This window comes from Homo sapiens, chromosome 15 (assembly GCF_000001405.40).
Source record: "Homo sapiens chromosome 15, GRCh38.p14 Primary Assembly".
In the NCBI taxonomy this organism is placed as follows: domain Eukaryota; kingdom Metazoa; phylum Chordata; class Mammalia; order Primates; family Hominidae; genus Homo; species Homo sapiens.
Genome location: NC_000015.10, coordinates 74394831 through 74408256, shown reverse-complemented (window position 1 = coordinate 74408256; position 13426 = coordinate 74394831). Strand labels below are relative to the sequence as shown.

At 53.9% G+C, this 13426-nt stretch overlaps 23 annotated features.

The window, feature by feature from the left end:
- Positions 2237 to 2336: an enhancer, noted in NCBI's record as "active region_9771". NCBI's record gives its function as "activates an Ori minimal core promoter by ATAC-STARR-seq in GM12878 lymphoblastoid cells {active_cell/tissue: GM12878}" and the evidence as "EXISTENCE:reporter gene assay evidence [ECO:0000049][PMID:35858748]".
- Positions 2357 to 2426: an enhancer, noted in NCBI's record as "active region_9770". NCBI's record gives its function as "activates an Ori minimal core promoter by ATAC-STARR-seq in GM12878 lymphoblastoid cells {active_cell/tissue: GM12878}" and the evidence as "EXISTENCE:reporter gene assay evidence [ECO:0000049][PMID:35858748]".
- Positions 2447 to 2496: an enhancer, noted in NCBI's record as "active region_9769". NCBI's record gives its function as "activates an Ori minimal core promoter by ATAC-STARR-seq in GM12878 lymphoblastoid cells {active_cell/tissue: GM12878}" and the evidence as "EXISTENCE:reporter gene assay evidence [ECO:0000049][PMID:35858748]".
- Positions 3916 to 3995: an enhancer, noted in NCBI's record as "active region_9768". NCBI's record gives its function as "activates an Ori minimal core promoter by ATAC-STARR-seq in GM12878 lymphoblastoid cells {active_cell/tissue: GM12878}" and the evidence as "EXISTENCE:reporter gene assay evidence [ECO:0000049][PMID:35858748]".
- Positions 4205 to 5170: an enhancer, noted in NCBI's record as "H3K4me1 hESC enhancer chr15:74695428-74696393 (GRCh37/hg19 assembly coordinates)". NCBI's record gives its function as "activates a minimal SCP1, AML or CMV promoter by ChIP-STARR-seq in naive and primed H9 embryonic stem cells {active_cell/tissue: H9 hESC(naive and primed)}" and the evidence as "EXISTENCE:reporter gene assay evidence [ECO:0000049][PMID:30033119]".
- Positions 4205 to 5315: a biological region, named in NCBI's record as "H3K4me1 hESC enhancer GRCh37_chr15:74695428-74696393".
- Positions 4256 to 4525: an enhancer, noted in NCBI's record as "active region_9767". NCBI's record gives its function as "activates an Ori minimal core promoter by ATAC-STARR-seq in GM12878 lymphoblastoid cells {active_cell/tissue: GM12878}" and the evidence as "EXISTENCE:reporter gene assay evidence [ECO:0000049][PMID:35858748]".
- Positions 4566 to 4655: an enhancer, noted in NCBI's record as "active region_9766". NCBI's record gives its function as "activates an Ori minimal core promoter by ATAC-STARR-seq in GM12878 lymphoblastoid cells {active_cell/tissue: GM12878}" and the evidence as "EXISTENCE:reporter gene assay evidence [ECO:0000049][PMID:35858748]".
- Positions 4786 to 5315: an enhancer, noted in NCBI's record as "active region_9765". NCBI's record gives its function as "activates an Ori minimal core promoter by ATAC-STARR-seq in GM12878 lymphoblastoid cells {active_cell/tissue: GM12878}" and the evidence as "EXISTENCE:reporter gene assay evidence [ECO:0000049][PMID:35858748]".
- Positions 5081 to 5290: a silencer, noted in NCBI's record as "fragment chr15:74695308-74695517 (GRCh37/hg19 assembly coordinates)". NCBI's record gives its function as "represses an EF-1alpha promoter that drives an FKBP-Casp9 reporter gene in an ReSE screen in K562 erythroleukemia cells {active_cell/tissue: K562}" and the evidence as "EXISTENCE:reporter gene assay evidence [ECO:0000049][PMID:32094911]".
- Positions 5536 to 5585: an enhancer, noted in NCBI's record as "active region_9764". NCBI's record gives its function as "activates an Ori minimal core promoter by ATAC-STARR-seq in GM12878 lymphoblastoid cells {active_cell/tissue: GM12878}" and the evidence as "EXISTENCE:reporter gene assay evidence [ECO:0000049][PMID:35858748]".
- Positions 6315 to 6815: an enhancer, noted in NCBI's record as "H3K4me1 hESC enhancer chr15:74693783-74694283 (GRCh37/hg19 assembly coordinates)". NCBI's record gives its function as "activates a minimal SCP1, AML or CMV promoter by ChIP-STARR-seq in naive H9 embryonic stem cells {active_cell/tissue: H9 hESC(naive)}" and the evidence as "EXISTENCE:reporter gene assay evidence [ECO:0000049][PMID:30033119]".
- Positions 8084 to 8584: an enhancer, noted in NCBI's record as "H3K4me1 hESC enhancer chr15:74692014-74692514 (GRCh37/hg19 assembly coordinates)". NCBI's record gives its function as "activates a minimal SCP1, AML or CMV promoter by ChIP-STARR-seq in primed H9 embryonic stem cells {active_cell/tissue: H9 hESC(primed)}" and the evidence as "EXISTENCE:reporter gene assay evidence [ECO:0000049][PMID:30033119]".
- Positions 8096 to 8325: an enhancer, noted in NCBI's record as "active region_9763". NCBI's record gives its function as "activates an Ori minimal core promoter by ATAC-STARR-seq in GM12878 lymphoblastoid cells {active_cell/tissue: GM12878}" and the evidence as "EXISTENCE:reporter gene assay evidence [ECO:0000049][PMID:35858748]".
- Positions 10457 to 10506: an enhancer, noted in NCBI's record as "active region_9762". NCBI's record gives its function as "activates an Ori minimal core promoter by ATAC-STARR-seq in GM12878 lymphoblastoid cells {active_cell/tissue: GM12878}" and the evidence as "EXISTENCE:reporter gene assay evidence [ECO:0000049][PMID:35858748]".
- Positions 10527 to 10946: an enhancer, noted in NCBI's record as "active region_9761". NCBI's record gives its function as "activates an Ori minimal core promoter by ATAC-STARR-seq in GM12878 lymphoblastoid cells {active_cell/tissue: GM12878}" and the evidence as "EXISTENCE:reporter gene assay evidence [ECO:0000049][PMID:35858748]".
- Positions 10527 to 11786: a biological region, named in NCBI's record as "P300/CBP strongly-dependent group 1 enhancer GRCh37_chr15:74688843-74690042".
- Positions 10536 to 11169: an enhancer, noted in NCBI's record as "H3K4me1 hESC enhancer chr15:74689429-74690062 (GRCh37/hg19 assembly coordinates)". NCBI's record gives its function as "activates a minimal SCP1, AML or CMV promoter by ChIP-STARR-seq in naive H9 embryonic stem cells {active_cell/tissue: H9 hESC(naive)}" and the evidence as "EXISTENCE:reporter gene assay evidence [ECO:0000049][PMID:30033119]".
- Positions 10556 to 11755: an enhancer, noted in NCBI's record as "P300/CBP strongly-dependent group 1 enhancer chr15:74688843-74690042 (GRCh37/hg19 assembly coordinates)". NCBI's record gives its function as "activates an origin of replication core promoter dependent on BRD2, BRD4, P300/CBP, MED14 and CDK7 cofactors, with strong dependence on P300/CBP, by STARR-seq in HCT116 cells {active_cell/tissue: HCT116}" and the evidence as "EXISTENCE:reporter gene assay evidence [ECO:0000049][PMID:35650434]".
- Positions 11187 to 11386: an enhancer, noted in NCBI's record as "active region_9760". NCBI's record gives its function as "activates an Ori minimal core promoter by ATAC-STARR-seq in GM12878 lymphoblastoid cells {active_cell/tissue: GM12878}" and the evidence as "EXISTENCE:reporter gene assay evidence [ECO:0000049][PMID:35858748]".
- Positions 11437 to 11786: an enhancer, noted in NCBI's record as "active region_9759". NCBI's record gives its function as "activates an Ori minimal core promoter by ATAC-STARR-seq in GM12878 lymphoblastoid cells {active_cell/tissue: GM12878}" and the evidence as "EXISTENCE:reporter gene assay evidence [ECO:0000049][PMID:35858748]".
- Positions 11837 to 11906: an enhancer, noted in NCBI's record as "active region_9758". NCBI's record gives its function as "activates an Ori minimal core promoter by ATAC-STARR-seq in GM12878 lymphoblastoid cells {active_cell/tissue: GM12878}" and the evidence as "EXISTENCE:reporter gene assay evidence [ECO:0000049][PMID:35858748]".
- Positions 11927 to 11996: an enhancer, noted in NCBI's record as "active region_9757". NCBI's record gives its function as "activates an Ori minimal core promoter by ATAC-STARR-seq in GM12878 lymphoblastoid cells {active_cell/tissue: GM12878}" and the evidence as "EXISTENCE:reporter gene assay evidence [ECO:0000049][PMID:35858748]".

The following is a 13426-nucleotide window of genomic DNA, read 5'->3' as shown; positions in this document are numbered from 1 at the left end:
CCCCATCCTTTTCTCCCCCAACACTCGGCATGCCCTGGGGGACCAAGGTCTCAGCAGGTACATGGGACCAGGGGTCTTTGGGAGTTTGGGGGACCCAGAAGAGCCCTGGGCAGCTGGGGCAGAGACCTGGGGCTGCTGCCACCATTTTTGGCGTTTGTGGTCCTGGGCAGACCCTCGCCTTTCCCGAGCCTCATTTCTCTCCTGTGTAAAAGGCAGGGCTGGACCTGGGCTTCTGTGGACCCTTTCCTGCACATCTCGTCTGTCCCAGTCCGTCTGTATTCCAGTGCACAGCCAAGCATCGGCATCAGGATGGGGGTTTCACAGGCTCCTGCTCAGCAAGCTGGAGGCTGGTGGCAAAGCAAAGGATGGGAGTGAATTCCAGCCCCAAATGGTCTGAGCGGCGAGTGGACAAAGTGTGGGCTTAAGCCTTGGTCCCTCCTGGAGTGCTGCTGGTGGTCTCCACTGAGTTCCCTGTCCTCTCTGGGCCTCAGCAGCCTCCCTCTTTCCAGAGATGCTCCTGGTGCTCTGATGGGTCCATGGCAGGGGATTTGAGTGATGGAACCCACTCCATTGTCTCTGTGGAGGCACCAGGAGAGGCTGGGCTGGGAGGGAAGCCGTGTGCATTAAGGCATGAAATGAGCCCGTGTAAATTCCATGTAAATGAGCTGGCAGGGATGAGGCCAGCCAGGCACAAGCCTCCTGCCCTGTTTTCCCCAATGGACAAGCAGCACAGCAGGCCTCTAGCTGGCGGTGTGTGGGCAGGACGGTTAGGCTGGGCCCGGGTGGTGGGAGGATCTGCTCTAGCCATAACCACACGATATCCACAGTCCCAGCACTGGCTTCTTGAGGGCCAGGCCAGGGACCAGAGCCAGGCCAGGGGCAGGAACCAGGCCCATCCTTCTCCCCTCTCTTGTGCATTCTCGTTGGGGAGGAGGAAGAGGGACGAGACTGAAAGCTCAGCTCTCCTGGGGAAGGCAGCAGGGAACTGCAGATTTCGTTCTGCCTCCCTCCCACTTTAGGAATGTAGAGTCATTACGGTTTATCCCCCATCCACATGTCCTGTCATCCTCTCTCCCCGAGGGAAGGCTGCTGTCCTCTTGTCTCTCTGCTACATCAAATCATACCCTTCCCATCTCTCCTCAGACTTCTACCTTCCTTTGCTGGAACCGCTCTGCATTTGCTCCTGTGATTCCCTCCCCTGGAATGCCAGGAGGAAGATGCTCCCAGGCAAAGATTTCAGAATGACATGGAATTCTCCAGAGGAATCCTGGATCCCCCCTACACTAATGCCTCAGCCTGTTCACTCCTGATCTTTGGGAGGGTGCACCTGGAAGCAAGCTCTGGGGTCCCTGGGGGAGAAGGCACAGCCCCTGCCCTGGAGACACTTAAAGCCTGGTAGGGAAGGGCTGTGGGCTGGACAGTGACCATACGTGTGACGGTCCTAGGTGGGAGGTGGGAGCTCAGAGGAGGAACCTAACCCATTGAGCGGAGTGCTCAGGGAAGGCTTTGAGTAGGGCCTTAGAGGATGTGTAGAAGTTCCCCAGGAGGAGAGTGACTGAATGGAGAGGGAACAGCATTTACAAAGGCCTGGGAGTGTGAGAGGGCCTGGGGTGTTATGGGCTCGCTGGAGTAAAGTGAGCTCCATGAAGCCAGAAATCCTTGGCAGTTTTGTTCACAGCTGTATCTCTAGTACCTAGAACAGTGCCTGGCACATATTAGGTGCTCAGGACATTCTTACTGAATGAATGAATAAGATGAGAGAAGGGAGAGTATCTAGAGGTGAGACTGGATGACTCCAGCAGTTCCCGATCCTGGGAACTAAAGCAAGATCTTTATCCTGCAGACACTAGGGAGCAATTGAAGGATTTTGAGCAGGGGTGGGGTAGATGATAATGATAATAATGGTGAGGATAATGGGAGCCTGAGATCCGTGTTTTCTTACACCCCATCTCTTACACCAAAGACCCACTCCTCACCATTTCCAGGTGTTTCTAGCTCCTTAAATGGTCCAATTTTAGCCTTCTGCTTACTGGAAAAGAAAGTGCAGCCATCCTGGCTACAGTGCCAGACAGGAGGTCTGTAGGCTTGGGCCAGTGGAATGGGGCTGAAATGGCTAAATCTGGCTCGGAAACACTTTTATCTCAATATTGGTTAACTCTGGGAGGAAGAGACCTTGGGAGAAAAACAAAAACAAAATCCACATTCTCAGGGTCACCAATGGCCATGAGTCAGCCCCCACCAAGGGAAGGAGCACAGAACCACACTCGGGAGGCGCTGGCCCTGTTAGTATGCTGGGGCGTTTCTGTAGGGTGGTGTTCACACCAGAACCGCTGCACTCGAACCAAGTCAAGGTCCCAGAACTCTGGCAGTTCTTTCAAGTTGGGCAAAATAAATGAGCTCAGAAGGGCTTAGGTAGAGGTGAACACGTCCTTTGGGGCTGAGCCTATATCATGGTGGGGAAACACATGGCTTGCAGCTTGATTCAGCTGTAGCCTATGCCTGGAGCAGGCATTGCTGATCAATTGTGGCATTCCTTTCCTGAGCTCATATGAGTGATTTTCTTCAGAACTTGCATTCTCTGGGGGCTACTGGGCACTTGAAATAGGGCTCATCTGAATTGAGATGTGCTGTAAGTATAAACAACACACTGGATTTTGAAAACATAATATGAAAAAAATGACCTTAAATTTTTACATCGATTACACTTTGAAATGATAATATTAGAGGTTGGGCGTGGTGGCTCACACCTGTAATCCCAGAGCTTTGGGAGGCTGAGGTCAGTAGATCACCTGAGGTCAGGAGTTTGAGACCAGCCTGGCTAACATGGTGAAACCCTGTCTCTACTAAAAATACAAAAATTAGGTGGGCATGGTGGCGTGTACCTGTAATCCCAGTTATTTGGGAGGCTGAGGCAGGAGAATCGCCTGAACCTGGGAGGCAAAGGTTGCAGTGAGCTGAGATTGCTCCATTTTACTCCAGCCTGGGCAACAAGAATGAAACTCTGTCTCAAAAAAAAAAGAAAAAAAGAAATGATAATATTTCAGATATAAGATATATTTGGCTAGATAACATACAAAAATTAATTCCACCTATTTCTTTAACTTTTTTTGTTGTTGTTGTTTTGTTTTTTAGATGGAGTCTTGCTCTGTAGCACAGAATGAAGTGCAGTGGCAGGACCTTGGCTCACCACAACCTTCGCCTCCCAGGTTAAGCGATTCTCCTACCTCAGCCTCCCGAGTAGCTGAGATTACAGGCGCCCGCCACCACGCCCGGCTAATGTTTGTATTTTCAGTAGAGACGGGGTTTCACCATGTTGGCCAGGCTGGTCTCCAACTCCTGACCTCAAATGATCTGCCCGCCTTGGCCTCCCAAAATGCTGGGATTACAGGCGTGAGCCACCGCTCCTGGTCTTCTTTAACTTTTATCTAGTGTGGCTACTGGAACATTTTAAATTATGTGTGTGGCTCATATTGTATTTCTGTTGGACAACACTGTTACGGAATATCTGCTCTGCGGGGGCAGGGAATTTTGTCTTTTTTTGTTCACAGCTAAATTTCATAGCACCTAGAGTAGCACCTAGCACACAGTAGGTGGTCAGTAAATTATTTGTGGAATGAATGAATGGATCCTCACCAGCATTTCTCCTTAGGAGTCACCAGCAATTGATCAGATGGAACTTATTTGCTACCCCGAGCCTAGCGGATGCTACACCACAGTGCTAACAACCCCCGTTTGTGCTTTCTGACTTTAGAGCTTGTGTCGCTCTCCTGGGACTCTCCTGATACCCAGTGGGGCAGGTGAAAGTGGACTCTGGTGAATGCACTGCTCCGCTGAGGGTCTTCTGAAAGGGAACGTTTCCGTTCCTTCTGATCAGGAAGCAGGGCAGTGTGCAAATGGTATGGAAATCACTTCTTGTGGGTGTTTGCCTATCTAGGGTGCTGGGGATACTTCCAGTCCACTTCCTGACCCCAGCCCTTGGTCCCTAGAGACAAAAGAGGAAGCTCTGGAGACTTTGAGCTCTGGGGGCAGATCGGGGGAACTGGGGCCCCCTTAGTCTTTCCCCAGCGAATGAGGGCTTGTAGCCCAGAGCATCCTCATCTCTCAATTCAGCAGGAGCCTAAAAATAGTCTGCAGTTTCAGCCTCCCCCACAGCCGCCCGCGCCAAGTGGGGCCCTGCGCCCGGCAGCTCCTCCACAATCCAGACTGTCTGCACAATCTGCCCCAGCTACCGACCCCCATCTCCTCGGCGTCTGTCCCATCCTGGCCCCTGAGAACCCTGAGCTCAGCACTCCCTGCTGTGAGGCCTGCTGAGGGTCTGCTTCACACTCTGCCTTTCCTAACAGCCTGGGCCCTGACCCCTGGAATTCCAGACCCCATGTTTTGTCCACTCTCCATTCTGGAGGGGACGCTAGCCAGACACAAGTGGGGTGAAGGTGTTGCAGGTAATGAAACCAGCACATGCAAAGCATGGGGTGCGAGAGAGCACAACATGCCATGGAAGGGGTGAGCCGGAAGGGCTGGGTGCACGGGATGGAGTACGGGGGCCAGTCCCAAGCTGGAAGGCAGCACCGCAGGTCTGTTGGCTCCCACCCCACGCGTGGATGCCCTGGAGTAGATGATGTCTTCGTCCAGCCCACGGTGGAGCAGGACTGCCCCTTGGATCAAGTAGCCTGCAGTAGCTCTGGTGCCACCCACACCTTGTGTAGAGCCCAGAAGGAACGCTTAGGTGCCAGGGCCTGTCTCCCTGTTTTGGGTCCTCCACATCTTGTGGGAAGCCCTGGTGCCTTCCGGCTCTGAGCTTCTGGGGTTCCTGCCTGCTTAGCAATACAGGAAGTCTCCTCAATGAGGTCCAGCAAGGGGAATGCCTCGAGGCAACCAGTACCTTGGTGGCAGAGCTGGAATGAAACCCTCCATATCCTGATGCCCAGCTGGGACCCGTCCCTCCCATCAATGTCGGGCGACCACTGCTGAGGACACATCCTGGTCAGAACCTGAGATACGGGGCTTGGGGACCTGCCCTGCAGAAGGGTTTCCTGGTGGCAGGAGTGAGTGTGCAGGTGACACTGCTGGCCCATGACGGTTCCACATTCTGAGTGAGCAGGGTCCCAGCTGCAGGAAGTGGTGGCGGCAGAAGTCACAGTCACCTTCCTCTCCTGGGGGCCGGCTTTCGGGGAAGCCAGGGGAAATGCTGAGCTCATGGGCTGTTCTTCCCACAGCTGGTTTCCAAGGCCTTTTCTTGTCCCTGACATCTCTCCACAGCCTCACCACAGCCCTCAGAGGCGGAATGCCATCGTGGGCATTACTGTCCCATTAGGCAGAGCAGGTGCAAGGCCAGCCTCTTGCTCTGAGCTACCTGCCCCTTCAGAGCCTGGCCTAGAACCTGGACTCCTGCCTCTTCCCACCTCCACACAACACCCTCCCCCAAGGAAACAGGGGTGGGTGGAATCTAGAAGCTTCTCAGGTGAGGTGAAGGTGTTGGGAAGGCATTAGAACTTGAGGTTTTCTCACCTCCACCAGCCCCTCATTTCCCAGCAGATGTGAGACCTCCTTGGTGTGCATGTCAGCCCGTGATAGGTCAGTCTCAGGACGTTTCCCCCAGCATGGGGCCTGTCAGAGGAGCTCCCCCTCCCCAGCCACCACAAGAGCCCAGTCACTGGGAGCGCCCCTGCACCCTGGAAGGCATCCGAGGGATCCAAGCCCATTCCTCAGCTTGAGGAAATGGCAGCCCCTGCAGAGGGCCCTGACTGGCCCTGTGAGTGTGGAGGTGGGGGCGTCCTAGCCCTGATACATCCTTTCCTGAACTCCACCCCAATCATGGGTATAAACACAGGCAGAACATCAATGAAGTGAGAGGAGAGTTGTCTGCCTTGGCAGCCAGCACCAGGGAAGATGGAACTGTGGCTTGTCTACCTGTCTGGCCTTCTGTTGTTCTCTGTCTCAGTCTCATTCTGTTTCCCTGTTGGTCTCTGTTTCTATTCTCTCTCTCTCTGTCTCTCCTTGTTCCTATTTCTCTCTCTGGCTTGACCTCTTATGCTCACTTACACAAAACAAGCATGCATATATACAACAGGTGGGCACATGGGACCACACGTATGACCTGCTCACCCATACACACGTACAAACATGCACATCTGTGCACACATGCATCCACACAGAATCCTCCCTCCTCAGATCCTGTATGTATATTCAGAGAAGGGGGTGGTGGTGAAGCTCTCTTTCCATGTATCCACAGGCTCAGGGAGAACCCACAGTTAATTTCCAGGCTGTTTCTGCCTCCCTGTCACTGGCAACTGGGAGCTTGGAGGAATAGGCTGGGATCCCCACTGATATCTGGGACTCTGGTGGGGATCTCTGGGCCATCATAACCTGCCAGTGAAGAGCATGAGAGGGGAGGGGGAGTCTCCGGAGGTGAGCAGAAGGGACGAGATAGGAAGATGAGATGTTGAGTTAGCAGTGCACTGGCCTGGAGGGCTCTCTGGCTCCTTCCCCTCCTGATGCTCTTCCTGGTGGTCCTGCTGAGATGCCCTATGACCCACCTGAGAGCTGGGGACCAGGGACGACTGGACCACAGGAGGCCCCAGAGGGAGGCGCCTGCAGGGAGGGAAGCCTCCTCAGTCATTTGCCCCACCCACAGAAAGCTGGAGGCTGGACGTCCCTAGGGTGTGTGGCCATGAGGAGAGAGCCTTTATTCCTGTCCTTTCAGGACAATGGGCCAGATGAGGCCCCACCAGGTACTTGGGTTTCCTGGGTGGGTCGGGGCTTTCCTGGAATGCTCAACCTTCCTGGTGTCCCAGGGTTGAGGTAACTGCATGGGAAGAGGGTAGGCAGGAAGCCCTTACGGTCTGTAAGGACCTGTCCTGCCCTGGAGTCTGGGTTCAGGTGGTCATCAGAGCCTGCACGCCTCCACCACTCTCAGCATGTGGGCCTGCTCCCTGTTCAGAGCAACCCCCTTACTGAGCACCTGTGTGGTGCAGGCTGTGCTGGGAGGAGGCTTGTGAAGAGCAGGTGAGCTAGGACTGGGCACCAGAGAAGGAGGAGCCCCTTTCGCTGCTGGGGCAGGAGCTAGAGCCCCCACGGGCATGTTTTGGTGTGGGGACAGATTCAACAGGAGCCCAGGGATCTTTCTGAAATGTGACACTTGCCTCCACCCTCCTTGCCAGAAAGGGACATTGCTCAGCCACCTGGCTCAGCTTCAATAAGCAAGTAGTAATAGTGGTGAACAAAAGCCAAATGCGTAAGTCACGCACCTGCCCGGGACTGTTCTGAAACTTTGTGTGAATTGTCTTGGTTAGTTTTCTCACCAGCCCTTTGAGGTTGATACTATTACTATTGTCTCCATTTCATAGTTCAAAGAACTGAGGCTGAGAAAGAGTAAGTAGTTTACCAAAATTTCACAACAAAAAGATGCATCTAATCTTTGTCCTCAAGAAACAGGGGTTCTACTTTTACTTTTTTTTTTTTTTTTTGAGATAGGATCTTGTTCTGTTGCCTAGGCTGGAGTGCGGTGGCACGATCTTGACTCACTGCAACCTCTGCCTCCCGAGTTCGAGTGATTCTCTTGCCTCAGCCTCTTGAGTAGCTGGGATTACACCACGCCTGGTTAATTTTTTTTTTTTTTTAATTTTTAGTAGATACGGGGTTTCACCATGTTGACCAGGCTTGTCTCAAACTCCTGACCTCAAGTCATCCACCTGCTTCAGCCTCCCAGAATGCTGGGATTACATGTGTGAGCCACTGTGCCCGGCCCAAGCTCCTGCTCTCTTTGCTGGGTTCGCGGTTAATACAAGTGATACACACAGCAGAGAGAAGCAGTCAGGTGGGCCACTCTGGCAAAATGGCAAAGATCAGGTCTGGGACAGAGTCTGCCCCAGTGACCAGGGTTCCCTACACAGAGTCCATTAGCACCCGAGTCTTGGACCTCAGAGGAAGATGATGGGATCACTTGTTCCAAGACACCCTGAGGCTCTGAGACAGGGAGGTCACCTGTCAATCTGTCCTACTTGGGACCGAGGTGGGCTGAGAGGCCCTCTGCTTGGGCTGCAGGGCCCCTGCAGGGGTTGAGGATCAGCTTTCTCCTCTCATTGGTTCCTGCCAGAACCATCTTAGGGAGCAGCTGCTGTGGGGGCTGCTCTCCCACAGCAGGGAACCCACATCCTGCCCCATTACAGCAAAGTGAGCATCCGGTGGGGGAAGGACCCCCACGGGGGGCCTGAAGCTGATGAAAGTTGAGTCAGGGTGACTCAGTGGAAGGCCTCTTCCCACTGCTGTCTCCAAGTGGAATACTGTGGTCAGACCAAAGGAAGAACTTCCCAACCTCTGGTCCCACATCTGGAATGCATGCCAAAAAGGGGTCTCTGAGAGAACATGGCAGTTTGGCAGTTCTCAGGCTCTGTCATGCTACATACTGACCTCAGAAAGACCCCGGGAGGCAGACTGCAGATGGGGAAACTGAGGAAAGGGACAGGACCTGTACCAGAGCTGGGACTGTAGCTGGACCTTGAGTCTGCTCATCATGGGGGCACCTGCCCAAGGAGAGGGCAGCACCCCACTGCAATGCCCCCTATGTTTCCCCAGAGCCCCTCTCCTCCCATCTGCTCCTCAGAGGCCTTGTCTCGAGGTAGGAGTGGAGTGAGGGGGTGGGGGTTTCCCTGAGCAAAGAATAGTTCTCCTGTAGGATGCTGTTTTAAGAAACACACAAATAGACAAGCCACCCAGCCAGTCAGACAAGTTTGGCTTTCCAAACCTGTCCCTGGGGTGGCTGTTGTTGCCTTTTTATTTATTTATTTATTTATTTATTTATTTATTATTTATTTATTTATGTATTTATTGAGTAAAGGTTCATATAACACAAATTTTGCCATTTCAAAATGCACATTGCAGTGGTTTTGAGTATATTCATAATGCTCTATGACACCTACCTCTAGCTAACTCTGGAACATTCCATCACCCCCAAGAAACCTCGTGCCTGTTAGCAGTTACTTCCCCTTTCCTTGTCCCCCAACTAATGTACTTTCTGTCTCTATGCATTTGTCTCTTCTGGACATTTTTTAAAAAATTAAATTAAATAATTTATTCAGAGATGAGGTCGCGCTATGTTTTCCAGGCTGGATTCAAACTCCTGGGCTCAAGTAATCCTCCTGCCTGGGCCTCCCAAATAGTTGGGACTACAGGCGTGAGCCACTGCATCCAGCTTCTAGGCATTTCATATAAATGGAATTGTACATGTCACCTTTTGTGTCTGACTTCTTTCACTTAGCATACTGTTTTCAGGGGTTATCATGTGGTAGCCTGAACCAGGACGCCCCATCTTCTCACTGCTGAATGAGAGCTCATTGTGTGGCTAGGCCATGTTGCTTATCTGTGCCTCAGTTGATGGACATGGACATTGTTCCCACTTTTCGGCTGTTATAATAATATCCAGAATAACGCTGTATGAATATTTGTGTACAAGTTTTTGTGTGATCAGATGTTTTCAACTCTTTGGAACATCTATTTACCTGGGAGTGGGACTGCAGAATCCCATGGTAACTCTGTGTTCAACGTTTTGGGCAACTGACAAACTGCTTTCCACAGAGGTGATACCATTTTACATCCCCGCCATCAGAGTGTGAGGGCTCTAATCTTGCCACAGTCTCACCAACACTTGTTATTTTCTCTGCCTTTATTCTTTCAACACACACACACACACACACACACACACACACAGAGAGAGAGAGAGAGAGAGACATTGAGACAGGGTCTTGCTCTGTCACCCAGGCTGGAATACAGTGGTGCAATTTTGGCTCACTGCAATCTCCGTCTCCTGGTCTCAAGCAATCCTCCCACATCAGCCTCCCGCGCAGCTGGGACTGCAGGTGCATGCCACCACACCCAGATAATTTTGTGTATCTTTTGTGGAGATGAGGTTTCACCACATTACCGAGGCTGGTCTCGAACTCCTGAACTCAAGAGATCTGTTGGCCTTGGCCTCCCAAAGTGCTGAGATTTCAGACATGAGTCACTGTGCCTGGCCTTCAACACATATTTTGTTGAGCCCCTGCTTGGTGTCAGGCCTGTGCTGGGGTAGGGGATGCAGGGGTCCAGGCTGCTCTTGCAGAGCCAAAGGGACATAGATGTGACCCAGTGGTGGCTGGTGCTGAGTGGAGGGAAGGAGGAGGTGAAGTGATGGGAGTGACCTGCATGGACAGTCAGGGCAGGCTTCAGGGAGGCAGCGTTTGTGCCCTGGGAAGGTCTTGGCTGTTACTGTCCAATCCCAGCCTCTGTCCCTTCCCAAGTCCCCAGGATGAGTGGTAGTCAAGGTGCTGGGTGCCTCAGTGTTATAATGTGAAAAGTCTCAGCCTGGCCTGAAACTCACCCATTAGAGCCCTCACCTGCAGATTCTATGCCCACAGCCCAGGCCAGATGAGGAAACTGTGGCTCAGAGAAGGGAATGACTTCCCAAAGGTCATCCCAAAAGGTAGTGGCAGAGGGAGACCAGATCCCTGATCTACAGATGCCCAGCCTGGGGTCCTTTTAGCTCTGATGGGGTGAGGCCTGGGGCAGCATGAGGCTGGGAGCAGGGAAGATGGGGGAGGGCAGGAGGCTGAGAGAGCCCAGGTGAGAGAGGGCCAAGCTTGAAAGGTTTTCCCAGGCTGGGGGAGAGGCCCTGGTCAGGATGTGTATGGGTAAGGGGTGAGATACAGAGGTCCCTGGGGCGGGCCCAGACCTGTTTCTCCTTTGCCCAGTTTCAGTTCTGTTTTGCTTGTCCCCTTCTGTTTTGCGTTCAGAGTGGGTTGGGGTGGTGGTGGGGTGACTCTTAGCCCCCATCTTGATCCCCATGGTGGGGGATGAGGAGATGGGCTTAACTCCAGACACCACTTTCAGTCCCCCTTTCTACCCCCACCCAGGGTCCCCCAGTCTAAGGGCGGATGCGGGAGGCCTGGCTGGGTCCGTCCTCACAAGGAGGGGCAAGCTGGGCAGAGCCTGGCTGGCCTCCCCTGCTGCCATACCTTGGAGCCCACAGCCTCCAGTGGGTAGTGACTGGCCCCAAATCTAGACATAGGTAATGTTTGCTTAGTGAGCTCATGTGCTATGGGACTAAGTTGAAATGCTCTGCCCCTTACTCATACACCCTTATTGACTCACAGGTCCCCAAGGTGAGTCACGCCCACATCAGGTATTGTGGGTGTATGAGACATACACCCACTGCAAACTGGGATGCAGTTTCCAGTCCCCCTGCCAGCATGCTTAGGGCACCAGGAAGGGCAGTGGGTGCTGATGGGCCCCAGATTTACCAAAGATGACTCCAGTTGGAGGCCTTGGACTGCTGTGGGCTTGTCAGGGGCCTTTGTGGCCCTGGGAGGAGGTGTCTGGGGCTGCTCCAATGTCTTTGGGGTCTCTCAGGTTGGGGTGGATCCTTTGGGAGTGCTGGGCACTGGCAGAGACTCAGGCCGCAGGGAGGGGACTTGCTTTCCCTCTGGCTCCCTCAGGAGGCCTCAGCTGCAGTGCTGGGTGCTGGCTGTCCTCAAACCCATGTCCTCCAGCCCCCTGACGTCTTCTCATTTCCTCATCTCAGGTTTCAGCCCACTCAGGCTGACGTTGCCTTCTGATCTCGTTTTTCAGCAGCCCCCAGGTCTCCGTGGCTGCTGTGCAGAAACGCGAGTGGTTGGGGGAAGTCCACATGATGCTGGCCTTGAAGAGCCTCCTGCCAGCCAGGCCTCAGGAGGGCTCACTTCCCCATTGCAGAACTCCTGCGGAGACCCAGGGGCAATTTCTGGTCTTTAGCACAGGGCCTCTGAGGGGCTGGCTTTTCCTAGGGGCTGCCCTGGTGCTGTGGCACCGTGGGGTGGGGGATTTCGGCAACGCCAGGGGCTCGACATGGCTGAAACTTCTTTGGACAGCTCAGCTACCCCAGGTAGAAGCCTCTGTCCCTCCCGGAGCCAGGCCTGTCCCAGCTTCGAAGTCAGATGTTGGGACATGCTGTATGCCTTTGGGACGAGTAGCCCCGTGGGCTCAGAGCTCTGACAGTGAACCCAGATGGGGTTGCTGTGAGGCACTGGGCGGGTCTAAACAAACAAGGTGCTGTGTGAGTGCATAGGTGCGAACAGGCTGCTCCAAGGGACTCTTGAATTGTCTTTGCGGACAAGTGGGAGTTAGCTGGAAAAGAAGGAGCTGCGTGGTCAGAGGCGTGGAGGCAGGCAGTGGAATAACCCATGTGGAGAACTGCAAGCATTTCCACATGACTGACTGGAGTGTGAGGGGGTGTAGGAGACCGGAGGGCAGGCGGTGGGCAGGGGGCTGGAGAAGGACCCTGAGGGCTCAGCCAAGGAGCAGGACTTTTCCTGAAGCAGCAGAGGCAGAGAGCCAGGCCCCTCCTGAGCCCTCTCACTTCTGTGCAGGGACACCTCCCAGTGAAGTAGGCCTGGGCCTCAGAGGCACCCCGACCCTGGCTGCTGACTCAGCTCTGCCTCTGTGAGGGCCAGTGGGGGGCTGCCCACATGAGCCACGGAGCCATGGCATGGCCTGGGGCTGGCTCTCCTGGGCTGCCCTCCACCCAAGGTCTTGAGGTTCTGCCATTCCCTCTTCAAGGGGTCTGACCATGCAGCCCTAGGTGGGGACGGACCCTGTAGCCTGCTCACTGGTGCCTGGGGTGCCACTGCCAGTCCTGCTCTGGCGCTGATGGGGAGGCAGAGGCAGCCGCCAGAGAGAAGATCCCAGGTGGGGAGAATGTGGGCAAGAGGCCATGCTCCCTCCTGCAGCCTTCATGAAGGCTCAGAGTGTTCTGGAAGTGTTTGGGGGCTGGCCTCATCTCCTCGGCTAGCTCCAACGCCTCCCGGCTCGGCCCCCACATATCACGCTCAAGTGGACCGATCCTGACTGAGGCAGAAAGTAGAACTGGCCCCTCACCATGCGCTCCAGCCCTACTGCTGAAGGAGGCAGGATGGCACAGAGGTGAGGGCGTGAATTCTGCATCACTCAGACTTGGGGCTAGATCCTGGGTCTGGTGGGGAGCACACTGGGCTGGCAAGGCCCGTCGTGCTTTACTAGCTACCTTTGACCCAGTAATCCCACTTCCAGGAGTCTGTCTTACAGAGACACCCGAACGAATATGACAGATGCACACACACCAAGCTGCATACTTGTGATGGCAGAAGATCAAAAACATTAATAGCCATCAGCTTGGGACTGATATATCCCAATGGTATGTCCCCATGATGGAATTCAAGACAGCTCTAAAAAGAATGTGAGACTGGGTGCGGTGGCTCACGCCTGTAATCCCAGCGCTTTGGGAGGCTGAGGTGGGCAGATTACTTGAGGTCAGGAGTTGAAGACCAGCCTGGCCAACATGGCAAAACCCTGTCTCTACTAAAAATACAAAAATTATCCAGGCGTGGTGGTGTGCACCAGGTACTCGGGAGGCTGAGGCACGAGAATTGCTTGAACCTGG